Raw genomic sequence first — 15236 nt, forward strand, 5'->3', positions numbered from 1 at the left:
GGCTATACTTGCTTCACCCCAGGCTGGGAAAAAGAAGTTCCTCTCCTCATTAATGGAAACACCCACACTCCACTGCAAACGGCCAGTTTCTAGGCTCCCTACCTACCACTTCCCCGTTTTTACCAGGTCCTAAAACACAAACACAACTTTTTTCTTGCCCTGCTATCTGTCCTCACTGCTTCTTAAACTCGAATCTTCTGCCTTCTTCCCCACCTCGGCTCTGCGAATGGACCCTCAAGGCTTCCTCTCCAGCAAAAAGACTCTTCCTGTTGCTCACCACGCGGCCCTCTCCACCGCCTTCCCCAGCCTGGGCAAGCACATTGGTCTTGCTCATCCTCCCACCCCTACTCTCTGTGTTTTCTCCTGCCTCTCTCACCGTTATTTTCTTGGGCTGCTTTGATGGCTTCTCTTCCTCTGTTCATCTTATATTTGTGCATTCTCTCCAAATCCTGTTGTAGCTTTTCTCTACCTGTTTGATCTCCACTCACTCTTATGAGCTCACTTTTTCAGCCCTCCCTACTTACCGAAAGTTCATGAGTCTTCTCTTTAGCCTTGTCCATCACACTCACTGCCACTGCCGGCATTTACAGCTTTCTGCAGGCGTTTCTTCACGAGCAGCCAGCCAAAATCTTAGATTCAACAGCCCACGCTGAATTCAGTCCTTCTGCTTAACTCCCAGCTGTCTCTTTTCCTTGTTCTCCTGCTTTTGTCAGCAACTGAGCTATTCCTCCTGCCGCACAGGCTAAAACCTTGGGGTCCTTTTGATGTTATTTTTAAACAGCTTTATTGAGATAGAATTACATACCATATTGTATCATATAATTCATCCATTTAAACTGTACCATTTTTTTAATATATTCACAGAGTTGTATAACCATCACCACAATCGATTTGAAGATACTTTTACCCCCACCAAAAAGCCTTACCCACTGGCAGTCATTCCCTCTTCCCCCACCCCCAAGTCCCTGGCAGCCACTAATGTGCTTTCCGTCTCTGGATTTTTCTATTCTAGACATTTCATATACATGGAAACATACAATAGGTGACTTTTGTGACTGGCTTCCTTTAGCATGTTTTCAAGGTTCATCCATATTGTAACATGTATCGGTACTTCATCCCTTTTTATAGCTGAATAATATTCCTTTACATAGATTATCAGATATGATCCATTTATCAGGAGATGGACATCTAGGTTTCCAACTTTTGGCTACTATGAATAATGCTGCTATGAACATTCATGTACAAGTCTTTATGTGGATGTGTATTTTCCATTCTCTTTGTATCTACCTAGCAGTAGAATTATAATTCCATCTTCAACATTTGGAGGAATTGCCACATTGTTTTTCAATTGTTTTCTGTACCATTTTACATTCCTATTAGCAATGTATAAGGGTTCCAGTTCTCCACATCCTTACCAATACTTACTATCTTTTCTATAATCTAGTCATCCTAGTAGGTGTGAAGGGGTTCCTCTCACTGTGGTTTTAATTTGCTTTTCAGTGATGGCTATAATGATGTTGGGTTTCTTTTCATGTGTTTATTGGCCATTTGTATATCTTCCTTGGGAAAATGTTTATCCAAATCCTTTATCCGGTTTTAAATTGGGTTGTCTTTTTACTGTTGAGTTGCAAGGGCTCCTTTATTAGATATATAATTTGCAAATGATTTCTCCAATTCTGTGAGTTGTCTTCACTTTCTTGACAGTGTTCATTAAAGCACAAAAGTTTTAAATGTGGTGAAGTTCAATTGAACATTTTTTCTTTTATGATTTGTGTTTTTGGTGTCACATCTAAGAAGGTTTTGCCTAACTAAGGTCATGAGGATTACTCCTTTTTTTTTTTGAGATGGAGTCTCACTCTGTCACCCGGGCTGTAGTGCAGTGGCATGATCTTGGCTTACAGCAACCTCCGCCTCCCAGGTTCAAGCGATTCTCCTGCCTCAGCCTCCTGAGTAGCTGGGATTACAGGCATCCGCCACTATGCCCAGCTAATTTTTTGTATTTTTAGTAGAGACAGAGTTTCACCATGTTGGCCAGGCTGGTCTCGAACTCCTGACCTTGTGATTCGGCCTCCCAAAGTGCTGGGATTACAGGTGTGAGCCACCACACCCAGCCTCCTTTGTTTTCTTCTAAGTGCTTCAGAGTTTAACTCTTACATTTAAATCTATGATTGGAGTTAATTTGTGTGTGTGTTGTAAGGAAAGGGTCCAATTTCATTGTTTTACATGTAGATATGCAGTTGCCCCAGCACCATTTGCTCAAAAGAGAAGTCCTTTTGAGTGTCCCCTTTATTTAATGTCTTATTCCAACCTGTCACCAAATTTTGCTCTTTTTCCCCTTTAAAATGCTGAGTCATCCTTTCACTACTACCACCAGTTCCCAATCAAAACTTTCACCATCCCACACCTAGGTAACTGCATTTGCATCTATCCTTCCAGACTCTGCAAGCCAATCCTTCTAGGGAAGAAGCTTTCAGACATGGAATTGAACTCACGTTATTTACCTGCTCAGAAGAAGTTCCTACTATAATGTATACAGCATGGGGGCAAACTCCGTGTTCTGACTTCTCTAATCTGGCCCCACCATGTCCACACCAACAGATCAAAGACCCAAAACTTCATCGTTGTTCAACTTTTCACTGAAGTGGAATTCTCTTTCTTCTACTGTCCCTTTCCCCTTCACCTTCTTCCTTTCTTTGCACTAAAATTAACTAAAGTTAAAATTCTGTAGGTCCTTAAAGTCTCCTCCAAACCCCAGCTCCTTGATAAAGCCTCCTTTGACCACCCCAGTCCTCACCAATCCTCTCTGACTTCCTACTACATTTGTGTGCTCTGTGGCACCAGTCATACGCTGATGACATTGGTACACACAATTCCACTCTACCACCCAACATCAATGAGCATTTATTGAGCATCTACTGAAGCTCACAGCATTGTGCAGGCAGGATACATATCATACAAATGCTGTTTCCTCCTCCCACCAAATGAGGGAGAATTAGATGAGATTTTTAAAAATTCCTCCTAGTTCTACAACCAGTATTGTATACTGATCCAATTTGGAAGTTTAAGTTTAAAATTAATTCAAGGATTCCAGTTGAGGAAATGGTCCCACTTCCTTGGAAAGTAAACTAGCTCGGTCACCAGGCTAGGTTACCCACGTTGTAATTGCTTGTGATTGACTACTCCACCGTATTAATGATGAAGTGCCCCCGACTTGAGATGCAGGCGTTAGGGCATCTGTGATTTGATCTGCAGCTTAAACTGGGAGACCACTCCAAATCCTCAAAGTTAACTTTGAGTATCAGATTGCAATCCCTCCCCCCACCACCATAAAAAAAAAATCTTTCAAATTGAAGAGGCAAAGTTTGAACCTTTCCTTGTTGAGAGATGAGAACAATAGCAGCTTTCTGCTCTAGCACAGCTTCAAAAGGCTGCCGAGGGACTGCTCTGAGAATTCTTGGTTGTAGATGACTGAAGAAATGCATGGGCAGCCTCCTGCGATTCAGTGCCGCATTAGCACCGGGGAAATTCTGTCCCCACCCTCCCAGAACCTTTAGTATAGCAACGATTTAACTAGGCAGATATGGGCAACTGCAAAATTGAGTCTCCTTGGCAAGGAGTGGGGAGATCCAGCCGATTAAGCAACATCTTACTGTGAAAGGCCAAAGCATTAAGAATTTGCTGAAATGATCTAAATAATATCTAGATTTTTAAAAAATCTAGCTTGAGAGGGGTGACTCTCTGGTTGGATTTATGCCAGAGGCATGCGTCCCTTCTAGCTGCAAGAAAATGCCCGAGGCGAGGTACCAAGCTTGGGCTGGAAGTAGCAACCCCTGACTTAATCCCAGAGCGCGCAGAGCTGGTCCGTCCCCTGCGCAAGTGTCACTGCGGGTTCACCTACCGGCCTCTTCCTCTCGCAGGTGGCATGCAGTCGGCGCTCGCCGCCCGCCCGCAAAGAAACGGCAATGCAAACTTCCCAGCCTGGGAACCCCGCTGCTTGGAGAGCAGCTCCGCTGTGCCAGCCGCCGCCAGGAGACTGGTATTCAACCTCCCCGCCCCCCGCCACGGTTAAAGTTTGCTCCACATTCGCAGCTCCCACCCCACCCCCATCTCCGCCCCGAGGCAGGAGGACCACATAGGAGTTCCTGGGTCCACCGTGCGCAAACACACCCACCAACAAAAGAAAGCCCATTAAATCTTCCCTCCTGTGAACTCGCGCCCCAACGGATACCTCTTTGAACTGACCCCCGCCCCCGCAGCCCCCGCGCTGTCTGGGGCGCGCCTGGCCCTCCCGGGCTTACTCTCTCCCCCACAGCTGCGCACTTTTGCAGCGCGCTCGGTCTTTGATGTCTCTTTACATTATGGCAGAGCAGCCACACGCTCTTCCCGGGCGCGGGGCTTTGTGTAATGGAACTGACATTTGGCCTTGATACCTGTATCTCTTGGTGATTACAACAAATTTCTAAAATAAATATTGTACTTTGATCTCCCAGCATTGCATTTTTAATGGACGCTCTCAACATTACTTCATTAAGAACTTTTTCCAGGAGCTCCGAGGGCCAAGGGGGTTGGGGGAGACTAAACAGCTATTCAGCAAAGCCTCTCTCCAAACTTCAGCTGGGGCCTGGGAGGACCGGAATCTGGACGGGTTTTCACAAACGGAGATGAGGCCGAGAGCAGCCAACTGCGACCACTCAAGAGAGGGCCTTCTGTACGCTCAGCACCGTCCTAAAGACCTTGCGTATATTAACTCTTAAACCTATAGCCACTCTACAAGGGGTGCACTATTGTAACTCCCATTTTACAAACCGCAAAACTGAGGTACACAGCGGCTGAGTACCTTGCTTGCCAAGGTCACCAACTAGAAAGTGGCAAGGCGGGAAAAATGTCTTCAGAGAGTTCGGACTCCGAGCTTTCAACCACCAAGCCACTAACTTTGACCCTGTTGGCCCACTGATGGTTTAACTGGCTAATGGGGGCATCTTGGAGAAAAAGCTAATTCCCATAACTATGGGGATGTGAAATGGCTTTTCTGGCCTTTTTGGGAAAGTAGCTATCAGATTCAATAAAAAGGGCTGCCTTCCATCCTGCTTAGCCCGGCCCTGCCCGCCTCCCTGGGAAAGGGGACTTCGAAGATCTCAAAGAAGCTGGAAAGGAAACCAGCGCTAAGGAACCAGATCGCTTCGAGGGTGCAAGCATGTGCAGGCGCGAGTGTGTGCCAAGGGGCTCCCTGGCCTCCGACTTGCATCCAGGGAAGAGCTCCCTCGAGTCTCACGCTTCTCCAAGACTCAAATCCTGGACGGGAGCGTGGGAAGGAGCAGGTTGGCCAGGCCTCGGATGAAACCACTAAGCTCTCTCCCCTTCTCCGCTCCCAGAGCAGCCGACCTCATCTTCAGAAGCCAGATCGGGTCGGCCAAGTTGTGTGGTCGCCGCTCGCGTTTTAGAGGGGACAACTCGTTGGGGGAGAAGGGGGCGTGCGAGTGCAGGATGTGCGAGGGACCCATTGTATTTGGGTCGCAAGCAGCCCACCCGTCTTGAGTACGATATTCTCATTCCGCAGGCGCGCCCTGGGCGTGGGAGAAGGTGGGCCCGGAGGCATCGCATCCCCGACCCCTGATGGAAGTGCGGAGGGCATCCTTATACAGTCCAGATTCCGAGTCCGTTGTAGTTAGGCTAACCTCTGACGCTGCATCGGGAGATAGGTCACCCCGTCCGTCCCGGTCGCAGTGCGGTTCCCGTGAGGAAGACGGGCAGAGAGGCCGGGCGCGAACTGATTAGGGGCTCCCCCACGGCCGGCGGCCTGGAGAGTGGAGACTGTGTCCGACGGGAGGTGGGTGGGGGAGAGGAGTAGGCCGAGCTCCGGCGGCCACTCCGCAGTGCGCTCTCGCGAGCCGGGGCCGCGAGGCCTCCAACGCGGTTCCGCACCCCTAATGCCCCAGGGCGGTGAGCACCCCGCGGTTCCCCGCCCGCCTCTTCCTCCTTCCCCGCCCGCGCGCCCGGGAGAGGCGATCCCCGCGTCCGCAGTGCCGGGGCAGGACGCGCCCTGCGCCCTGGGCCAGGAGGAGGCAGGTGGCCCTCCTCGGCAGGAGGTGAGCCGCCAGGGAGGGATGGGGGTCACCCAAGCCCCTGCAAGCGCGACCCTGCCCAGAGCAAAGCACGCCCCGCGCCTGGTGAGGAACTTTTTCTTTCCAAAGGTGGCAGGAACAAGTCTGTACTGACTTTTCTCCCGCCTTCGGGATCCTCTCTCGTATGATTTGTGGTTTGTGGGACCACAACAACCAGGCTTCCTCGACCGCGCCTTTTTTCCAGTAGCTCCTGGTCTGCCAGGCTTGCGAGAGGGCGCGCTGGCTTGGCGGGGCTCCGGGCGAGAAATCACCAGCAGCGCTGGGGCTTTCGGCCCCCCACAGCCCAGCCCGGGCCTCCTGGGTGGCCTGGGGAGAAGGGGGCGGGACAGCACAGCTTCTTCCCCTCGGGTGGGCATGACGGGTCGCCTTGGGTGTCCTGCCGAGCTCAGCTTTGAGGGTATGCGCGGCGCGGGTGTTTTTCCCAGGTCCACTCTGCAAAAGTTGTGGCCTGAGGAAAACTTCCAGGTCGCCAGCAGGAACGTCACAGGAGAGCCCCGGTCGCTCGTCAGGCGGGCGGCCCTGGAGCGTGCGCGCCACCCAACGCCGCGCTGGGCGGCCGCCCGGCCCCGCCCCAGGTCACAGCCCTGCCCTCGGCCCCACCGCGGCGGGCGGGGGACACGCGGCGGGCCGGGCGCTGTCGGTCCCACGCCCCACCGGGGATCTCGCTTGGGTCCGCTGTGTGCGCGGGCGGGTGCGTGTGCGGCGAGGGTGCAGGGTGTGCAAGTAAATACAGGGGAGAGTTACACTCTTTGCCGTCTCAAAGTCCGGCGCCTGGAAGCCGAAGGCAGATTTTTCCAGAGATAACAAAGACACTTTGTCACTTTGGGCGCTGCGTCGGTGCAAATCTTTAATTGCAAGTGTGTGTGTGTGTGTGTGTGTGTATGTTGGGGGGGGCGGGAAGAGTGTCTCGAGCAACCCAAGCGCGGGTCTCCAGGCGGCAAGGCCCCCTTTGATCAGGAAAATCCAATTATTTGTGTATATACATTTCCCACATAGTGATTACTTCATTAATTGTCCCGCCTTTATCTCCTCCCTTCCCATCCCCCCTAATAATCAGTTCTTTTATCCAGACCAACAAACACACCATAGGAGCTTTGTGGATTCAAAGGATTTGCTTTCGCTTCTGAAAGAGCCGCTATTCTTTGATGATTGGGTAGCGGCAAACTTCAAAGCCATAAATCTTCCCTCTGACTGGCTGGCGGCCCAGCAAAGTCCTTATCAAATTCTTGGAGGTGATCCTGAAGCGCTCAGACCGCGCGCGGGGCGAGCGAGCGGGGCGCGGCGAGGGGCAAGGGCGGGGAGGGCCCCGGCGCTCAGAGCAGGCGCCAGGGAGGCAGGCTGGGCGGCCCTTCGTCCTCGCCTTCGGGTGTCCATGCCTCGGCGGCGGCGTCCCGCTCCGCAGCCAGGGGCCTGCAAGCCGTAGCCATGGCCGCGGTGGCCGTCCTCCGGAACGACTCGCTGCAGGCCTTTCTCCAGGTCAGGGCCGAGCCCGGAGGGGGCGGGAGAAAGGTGGAAAGGGCCGTGTCCGGATCTCTCCTGGTACTCCGTGCACCTTGAACCTCAAAGGGAACCCCGCCGATGGGTGCAGCTGGAGCCAGGCCTAGGGGTGCCCACGCCAACTTCACACCTAATCCGGTGTGGCCTTTGCTGGAGGGACGCGTGGATCCGGGATTGTTCGGAGGTGCCCGGCTGGCCGAGAACAGGACCGGAGCTCACCCTGCTGGGCCCTCCTGCTGATTTCAGCCTGGGGCGGGCCAGGGAGGAGCGCGAAGGCAGTGAGGACAAGAGAGCTTAAAAGATGGGAGGGAGAGCGGCCGGCCGGCGGGGTTGTGGGTGTTTCCCGACTCTTACTGACCACGGAGCCGGGAGGGGCCCGTCGGATGCCTCCCCCTCCCACTTCGCGCCTGCTTCCTCTAAGGCTGGATGGCGTCTCAGTGCACCAAGTAGTTTAGCAAGAAGCGCTCGCGGGCCCCACGTTCAGGTAGCGCAGGCACCAAAAGTTTCCCTCGGCCGGTGGGTGCGTGCGTGGGGTGCGGTGGCGGGGGAGGGACGGCCGGGACGGAGGAGGGGCGGCGGTATAATAGCGGGCGTGGGGGCGGCGGGCTGGCCCGGAGTCCGCGCTTGGAGCTAACCTTTTGTCTCTTCTCCGCCCTCCCTCGCCGCCTATGCAGGACCGCACCCCCAGCGCCTCCCCGGACCTGGGCAAGCACTCGCCCCTGGCATTGCTGGCCGCCACCTGTAGCCGCATCGGCCAGCCGGGCGCGGCGGCGCCCCCGGACTTCCTGCAGGTGCCCTACGACCCCGCGCTGGGCTCACCCTCCAGGCTCTTCCACCCGTGGACCGCCGACATGCCGGCGCACTCGCCAGGCGCACTGCCGCCCCCGCATCCCAGCTTGGGGCTGACGCCGCAGAAGACGCACCTGCAGCCGTCCTTCGGGGCTGCGCACGAGCTTCCCCTTACACCCCCCGCCGACCCCTCGTACCCCTACGAGTTCTCGCCGGTCAAGATGCTGCCCTCGAGCATGGCGGCTCTGCCCGCCAGCTGCGCGCCCGCCTACGTGCCCTACGCGGCGCAGGCCGCGCTGCCGCCAGGCTACTCCAACCTGCTGCCTCCGCCGCCGCCACCGCCCCCGCCGCCCACCTGCCGCCAGTTGTCACCCAACCCGGCCCCCGACGACCTCCCGTGGTGGAGCATCCCGCAGGCGGGCGCCGGGCCGGGGGCCTCCGGGGTTCCGGGAAGCGGCCTCTCCGGCGCCTGTGCCGGGGCCCCCCACGCGCCCCGCTTCCCCGCCTCTGCGGCCGCTGCTGCTGCGGCCGCCGCCGCCCTACAAAGAGGCCTGGTGTTGGGCCCGTCGGACTTTGCGCAGTACCAGAGCCAGATCGCCGCGCTGCTGCAGACCAAGGCCCCCCTGGCGGCCACGGCCAGGAGGTGCCGCCGCTGCCGCTGTCCCAACTGCCAGGCGGCGGGCGGCGCCCCCGAGGCGGAGCCGGGGAAGAAGAAGCAGCACGTGTGCCACGTGCCGGGCTGCGGCAAGGTGTACGGGAAGACGTCGCACCTGAAGGCGCACCTGCGCTGGCACACGGGCGAGCGACCCTTCGTGTGCAACTGGCTCTTCTGCGGGAAGAGCTTCACGCGCTCGGACGAGCTGCAGCGGCACCTGCGGACTCACACGGGCGAGAAGCGCTTTGCCTGTCCCGAGTGCGGCAAGCGCTTCATGCGCAGCGACCACCTCGCGAAGCACGTCAAGACTCACCAGAATAAGAAGCTCAAAGTCGCTGAGGCCGGGGTTAAGCGGGAGGACGCGCGGGACCTGTGAGCCCTCCCGGAGGTGGACCCCCTTCCCAGCACCTCTGCGAGAGATCCGGGGACCTGTGGGCAGCTGGCGGAGGGGAGACTCAGCAGACGGACCCTCTCCGTTGCCTGCCTCCCAAAATGGAGCCAGGCTTCCAACTTCCGCTGCCTTCGGACATAGGGACCCAGTTCCCAGGAGCGGGGAGGTAGGGTTGGGGCTGGGGCATTTGGATTGTAATTGGGAGCTCTGCCGTACGCCAGGGCGGTTCCAAACTCTAAACCGTTCCCACCGTCAGGGAGACCTACAGTTTCGGGGGACCACCCTGGTCTGGCCTTGTATATAGGAAATGCTGCTGAACTGAATAGAAAGGAACTTGGGAGATTTGAAACAGTGCTCGGGTTTTCGCTAGGACCGGTTTGGGCTTTGTACAGGTTATTTAATAGCTTTGTTAAAGATAATTATAATAATTATAACATTAATAAAAATGTTGCTTTTGTCTTCAGCTCCATGCAGAGCTACAGCATGATATGTCTCTGTAAAGTGATCAGCAGTTGCAGCGTGAAAATAAATACTTTAACTCAGGGGTCACTACAGGAAGACCCCGTTGAGCCGGTCTCATTTGATCTTTTCTTCTTCTGGGTGGCTGTACTAAGCGGTCGGGTTTCCCCGGGAATTTGATGGTTCCTATAGTCTGCCTGTGTCGGAGGCTTCTTTGGTTTGGAAGGATCTGGGCAAATGTGTTGGGTTCAGGAATGGACAAAGGCAGGCAATTCCGTTTTGTGGTAAAGAGGTAGGGCAAGATTTTCCAATCACAATTTGAGTTTCTCATGCGGCCTTAGGATTCACCCGAGACTGTTTGTCTTCCAAGTTTGTTTTTACCTGACGAATTCCCTGTGGCTTTCTATTTGTTGGTACTCTCGGGACAGGTCACAACTATGCTGGTGTTAAGAGAGGTATTAGAGGCGCCAGGATCTGTTCACAGGTGAGACTTTGTGGAGAGGTACAGAGAAACGGGACCCTTGTTCAGGTTGGTCTTTGCCTGGGAAAGAACCAAGAAGATAGTTTCCCAGACGCCACTCCTGTATTTCAGTCCCGTCACGATAGCCAGCGTTGTTTTGCTTGTTTTCTTTTTAATCTTGCGATGGAAATCTTAACAAGTCTTATTTCACAGTAACCACCCAGGAATTTCTGGCTAGGCCAGGACGTTTAGTTCCATTTTGTATCTGAATTTTATTATGTTTTTAATCATTGAAGTAGTCTAAGATTTTCTCAGGGAAGAGCCAGGAATACTCATGGTTTGGAAATGTGGAAATAGGGTATTTTTTGTCTAGGTGCCTCGCCTTTCTCTAAAAGTTGAAGTTTTGAAGTTTACAAATGTTTTATCAAGTGTCTAACTCCTTGATATTTTCTAATATTTGAGTTTTTAAACCTGTAACTGAAACTTTTATCAGCAGTTAAATCTTGATTTAAGATTAGCAAAGAACAGAAAATGTTCTAAATTTTATTAACATGTTAAGCTAGCATCATTAATGCCAAATTTTAATAGAGCCGAATAATCTTTTCATGATAGTTGAAGTGTGTACAAATTGATAGGATTTCACAGTTCACAAACTGCTTTTACTTTGCCTTTTGTTTGAAGTCAAACTGAAGGATCAGTTCTTAAAAGCTTTGAGGGTTGTTCTTGAATTCTTATACGAAGTAAAACACAAATATCAACATAATTCAGATGAAAATTACTTTTATACTCCTAAGAAATGGCATTTTTATTCTGTAACTTGGGACAAGGTAGTAAATGAATATTAGATTCATAGTGGCAATATACCTTAGAATAAGAGATATTGGAACTATTTAATGACTAATTAGAATGTGAGTCTTCATGGTTCTTCACCTGGGAAGAGGAGTTTGGGTTACATTTTCAAGGGTGTGGCAGTTTGCAAGCAATAGTGATAAAGTTGCTAGGCAGTAATATTAATATACACTTAAATATGTAATCTTAATCAAAATCATTAGATCTAAGTCATTAGATCAAGACTACACATTTTGATGTCTAAAGCAATGTGAAAAGTTATAGAAACTCTCACCTTTCTCTAAAAAGTTACAGAAACTCCCATCTGAACCATGCCCTGGGATCAACTATAGATTCAGAAAAGGATTTTTGGAAAGTGGTGAGAAAGAGGAATCCTTGTTAGAGAGTGAAAATTTTCAAAGGCTTTGGACTCAAAATTTGAAATGATTCTTTCATCTGAAAGAATGACCTTGGTAGAGAAAGAAAAATGGCCATTTAAAAATGAGTCTACTAGCTATTATTGACAGAGCCAATCATTTATTTAGTATCCAAACAGAAGAGGTGTTGAAGATAAAGTTTTCTTATAATTTTTTGGTTGTTAAATATATGGAATTTAATATCTAAGGAAATGAGATATTGGAGATAGATAACTGTGGTTATTAGAGAAAAACAAAATAAATGTATATAATTTTTTAAAGTAGAACAAAGTCTTATGACAAAATAACTTTGTTATGGTTTTACTTAATTGCACCTGCAAATTGAAAAAGTATGGTCTTTAACGTGGTACAGCTGAAAGGCTTGCTCATTGTACCACTGCAAATCTGATAGGATTGTACCACTGCAAATCTGACAACATTAAAGAAGTAGGCAGCATTAAAAAAGTAAGTTTAATCCACCAACTTTATTCAAGGTTTCACTTAAAGATCCCAGCAAACAATTCAATTAAGTTTAAAAAACTTATTGAAGAAAATATGTTAATGATTGCCTCAAATGTCAGTAGGCATTGTAGATTTTAAAGCAACTGTTTTATTAGCATGCAAATGTAATGTACAGTATTCTTTTAAAATACTAAAATTCGTGATATTATTTTAATTTTAACAGTTTTTGAACCATTTTGAGCAAGAACTTGGAAACATGGAGAAATTGAAATATCAGTAAATTAGTTAATTTAGAAGCATGTGTTTCTGAATTTATTAACACTGTAGTTATCTGCTTTTCTCAAGAAAAAATTGTGCAAATATACTCTTAACTGATCACTAGTTTTAAATAGTTCTGGTAATGAATGAAAGTAAATTACGTTAAAGAAAATACAACTGTAATCTCCATGTTATTTTCTAGTTTCAACTAGTGTTTAAATCTTATGACTATATTTTTGTTTTTTTTTTTGTTTTTTTGTTTTTTTTTTTAGACGGAGTCTCACTCTGTCGCCAGGCTGCAGTGCAGTGGCACCATCTCGGCTCACTGCAACCTCTGCCTCCCGGGTTCAAGCAGTTTTCCTGCCTCAGCCTCCTGAGTAGCTGGGACTACAGGTGCGTGCCACCATGCCTGGCTAATTTTTGTATTTTTAGTAGAGACAGAGTTTTACCATGTTGGCCAGGATGGTCTCAATCTCTTGACCTCATGATCCGCCCACCTTGGCCTCCCAAAGTGCTGGGATTACAGGCGTGAGCCACCGTGCCCGGCCGTATATTGTATATTCTTTTAAATTATTTTACTTTAATCAAACAAGACATGCCAATTAAAAAATTAATCTTGCCAAGCATGCCTCTTGCAGAAACCTATTTGAAACAATGACATTTGTAGAAAAGTCAGTTTTTTTACCCCAAGCTGTACTATTTTTTATTCTAATATTGTGGGGTTTTAAGTATTAGTTGAAAGCAACATCTTCAGTGTTTTCTATTTATTTCATTTCTGCTATGACTGTTTCACAGAATGTTATAGCTGTAGCTATGACTTCAAATTCATGTAAACATCTAGTAAGTTGTTTAGGGCTCTAAAATTGCAAGCCACTTTTACTTGCATTAGCTCATCACATTAAATAATGACTAGTCAAGGTAAGTTGCCCATTCTCACTGGGAAATAGTCTGTGTTATAGAATCAGATTCAAACTTTAAGCTTTGTGTTATAGTAAGTGTAATTATAGTTTGCTAATGTCGCAAATTGAGGGCCACTCAAAACAAGCAATATTAATTTTCTATTAAATATCATGACCTTCTGGTTTGCATGATAGAGAGAACTTTAAAGGAGTATGAGACCCAGGGCAGTTTTGAAATGTCATGCACCAACATAGTTCAATAGAGTAGGAAAAAATAAGGAAAATATCTAGATAGATGTATGTTAGTAATGAGATATATGTTTAGATTAATACGACAAAAGAACATGTTTCATTATTGGGCCACTATAATGGTAACCTGATTAGTGTGGCATGTGATTTATTTAATATAGACAGTATATTTTTCTCTCATGTTCAGACTCAACACATTTTTGTATAAAGATCTTGATGTCAGTTGCTCCTTCCTTGATTATTTTTAAAGAATCTACTATGTTGCCAGAGACAGCAATGTTTCAGATTAATTTATGGACATTATACAATAACTTAATGTTCCTGACTATAATTAACAAGTGATATTTGTTCAACAAAGATGTAATCAAACAGCTACGGATTGATAGTTTCGCAATTGTTTTACTATTACAGCTTATTACCAATTGAAGATTTGTACATGATGATTGATATAGTTTCATGCTGACATTTTGATGACTTCCCTTTCTAGACTTTATGCACTTTTCTTTCCGTGTCTTTAGCAATTATCTAAAGTATAATCCTCTATTGGATATTTGAGACTTAATTCATAAATCAGCCTATGCATATGAACTATAGTAGTATCTGCACAACACATAATAAACCACATTAACTAATACATTTTGGTTGTCTACCTCATACCAAAATGTAATTCAGGGTAAATAAACCCAACTCTTAGTTTGATACCACTTGGAAAATCTACAGCTTTCACTTTTCAAAAAGTTGTTTCAGCATTATGAAGATTCATTATGCCTATTATGAAATGGAAGTTTGTTTTACAGTAAAACTATTCATCTAATATTTTCATTACTTGTCAAAATTCTGACATCAAAATACACTAAAATTTTCTAAAGTCTAAGGCAGTGTCTAAATGTCATCTGATTTTTTCATGTAGAGTTAAACCAGTCATATATGGGTGCTTTCTAATCATTTTATGTTTAGCATAATCTAAAACACAGATGGAAAACATCTGGCCCTCAGCTTAATTTTACCCAATTCATGAAGCAAATATCAAGGCTAACTCATTTATGCTTATGGTTGGGAAAATGTGTCCTAATTTTAAAAATATTTGGTGGCAATTTCCCAAAAGCCTACATCAGATACCATGAAAGCTCATTTCTCTTATCTCTATGTGAGTTTTATTCTTATAAATTCTATGTCTTGCTTTCTTTTCCATTCTGACTTGTGGATGTCACACATCTTCTATATATCCATGTCCATTTCTAGCATGGAAACTTTCATTTTGTGTCATGTGTCTCTCCTGCTTTTCTCAACGTATTTATGTCCATGATTTGATTTTGCTCCCAATAATGCGGAACTCAACAGGATTCTAAACTGTAGTATTTTAAATCTATTGTTTTTTTTGGGTTTTTTTGTTTTTTTTTTTTTTTTTGAAACAGTCTCTCTGTCGCCCAGGCTAGAGTGCAGTGACAGGATCTCGGCTCACTGCAACCTCCGCCTCCTGGGTTCAAGCGATTCTCCTGCCTCAGCCTCCCAAGTAGTGGGATTACAGGTGCCCACCATCACACCCAGCTAATTTTTGTATTTTAGTAGAGATGGGGTTTCACCACAATGGCCAGCTGGTCTCAAACTCTTGACCTCAGATGATTCACCCACCTCGGCCTCCCAAAGTGCTGGGATTACAGGTGTGAGCCACCATGCTTGGCTGTATTTTTAATAGACATTTTTATTCTTTGGTCTAAATTTTACATGTGCTTGAATTAAATTTATAGTTC

At 48.0% G+C, this 15236-nt stretch overlaps 1 protein-coding gene and 3 long non-coding RNA genes across 18 annotated transcripts in view, besides 4 other annotated features; 1 reads left to right on the forward strand and 3 right to left on the reverse strand.

Annotated features, from left to right (window-relative positions):
* LOC100130256 (uncharacterized) overlaps window positions 1-4042 on the reverse strand; it is a 96216-nt gene extending 92174 nt beyond the window's left edge. For all 13 annotated transcript variants that reach the window (NR_187625.1, NR_187623.1, NR_187620.1 and 10 more), the window contains exon 1: window positions 3899-4042. This is a non-coding gene — a long non-coding RNA (uncharacterized LOC100130256). The remainder of the gene's footprint in view (window positions 1-3898) is intronic.
* The window catches only part of ERICH2-DT (ERICH2 divergent transcript), a 70399-nt gene that overhangs the window by 7598 nt on the left and 47565 nt on the right, over window positions 1-15236 (reverse strand). The gene's annotated exons all lie outside the window — the stretch shown is intronic.
* On the reverse strand, window positions 4474-6602 carry LINC01124 (long intergenic non-protein coding RNA 1124). Its single transcript, NR_027433.1, has one exon. It is a non-coding gene; the product is annotated as a long intergenic non-protein coding RNA 1124 (long non-coding RNA).
* Window positions 6689-6738: a silencer, noted in NCBI's record as "silent region_12090". NCBI's record gives its function as "represses an Ori minimal core promoter by ATAC-STARR-seq in GM12878 lymphoblastoid cells {active_cell/tissue: GM12878}" and the evidence as "EXISTENCE:reporter gene assay evidence [ECO:0000049][PMID:35858748]".
* Window positions 6956-7745: an enhancer, noted in NCBI's record as "OCT4-NANOG-H3K27ac-H3K4me1 hESC enhancer chr2:171571431-171572220 (GRCh37/hg19 assembly coordinates)". NCBI's record gives its function as "activates a minimal SCP1, AML or CMV promoter by ChIP-STARR-seq in naive H9 embryonic stem cells {active_cell/tissue: H9 hESC(naive)}" and the evidence as "EXISTENCE:reporter gene assay evidence [ECO:0000049][PMID:30033119]".
* On the forward strand, window positions 7372-10113 carry SP5 (Sp5 transcription factor). 3 transcript variants are annotated; one of them, XM_005246542.5, is made up of 2 exons: window positions 7372-8103; window positions 8294-10113. In XM_005246542.5, exons 1-2 carry the CDS (start codon window positions 7921-7923, stop codon window positions 9437-9439), a joined length of 1329 nt encoding a protein of 442 aa, XP_005246599.1. In that variant the 5' UTR covers window positions 7372-7920; the 3' UTR covers window positions 9440-10113. The 3 variants fall into 3 exon arrangements, with proteins under 3 accessions (XP_005246599.1, NP_001003845.1, XP_047300220.1); NM_001003845.3 differs by having other exon boundaries at window positions 7372-7598; XM_047444264.1 differs by having other exon boundaries at window positions 8018-8135.
* Window positions 7746-8533: an enhancer, noted in NCBI's record as "H3K27ac-H3K4me1 hESC enhancer chr2:171572221-171573008 (GRCh37/hg19 assembly coordinates)". NCBI's record gives its function as "activates a minimal SCP1, AML or CMV promoter by ChIP-STARR-seq in primed H9 embryonic stem cells {active_cell/tissue: H9 hESC(primed)}" and the evidence as "EXISTENCE:reporter gene assay evidence [ECO:0000049][PMID:30033119]".
* Window positions 8534-9323: an enhancer, noted in NCBI's record as "H3K27ac-H3K4me1 hESC enhancer chr2:171573009-171573798 (GRCh37/hg19 assembly coordinates)". NCBI's record gives its function as "activates a minimal SCP1, AML or CMV promoter by ChIP-STARR-seq in primed H9 embryonic stem cells {active_cell/tissue: H9 hESC(primed)}" and the evidence as "EXISTENCE:reporter gene assay evidence [ECO:0000049][PMID:30033119]".

The sequence above is a fragment of the Homo sapiens genome, chromosome 2 (assembly GCF_000001405.40).
Source record: "Homo sapiens chromosome 2, GRCh38.p14 Primary Assembly".
Classification (NCBI taxonomy): domain Eukaryota; kingdom Metazoa; phylum Chordata; class Mammalia; order Primates; family Hominidae; genus Homo; species Homo sapiens.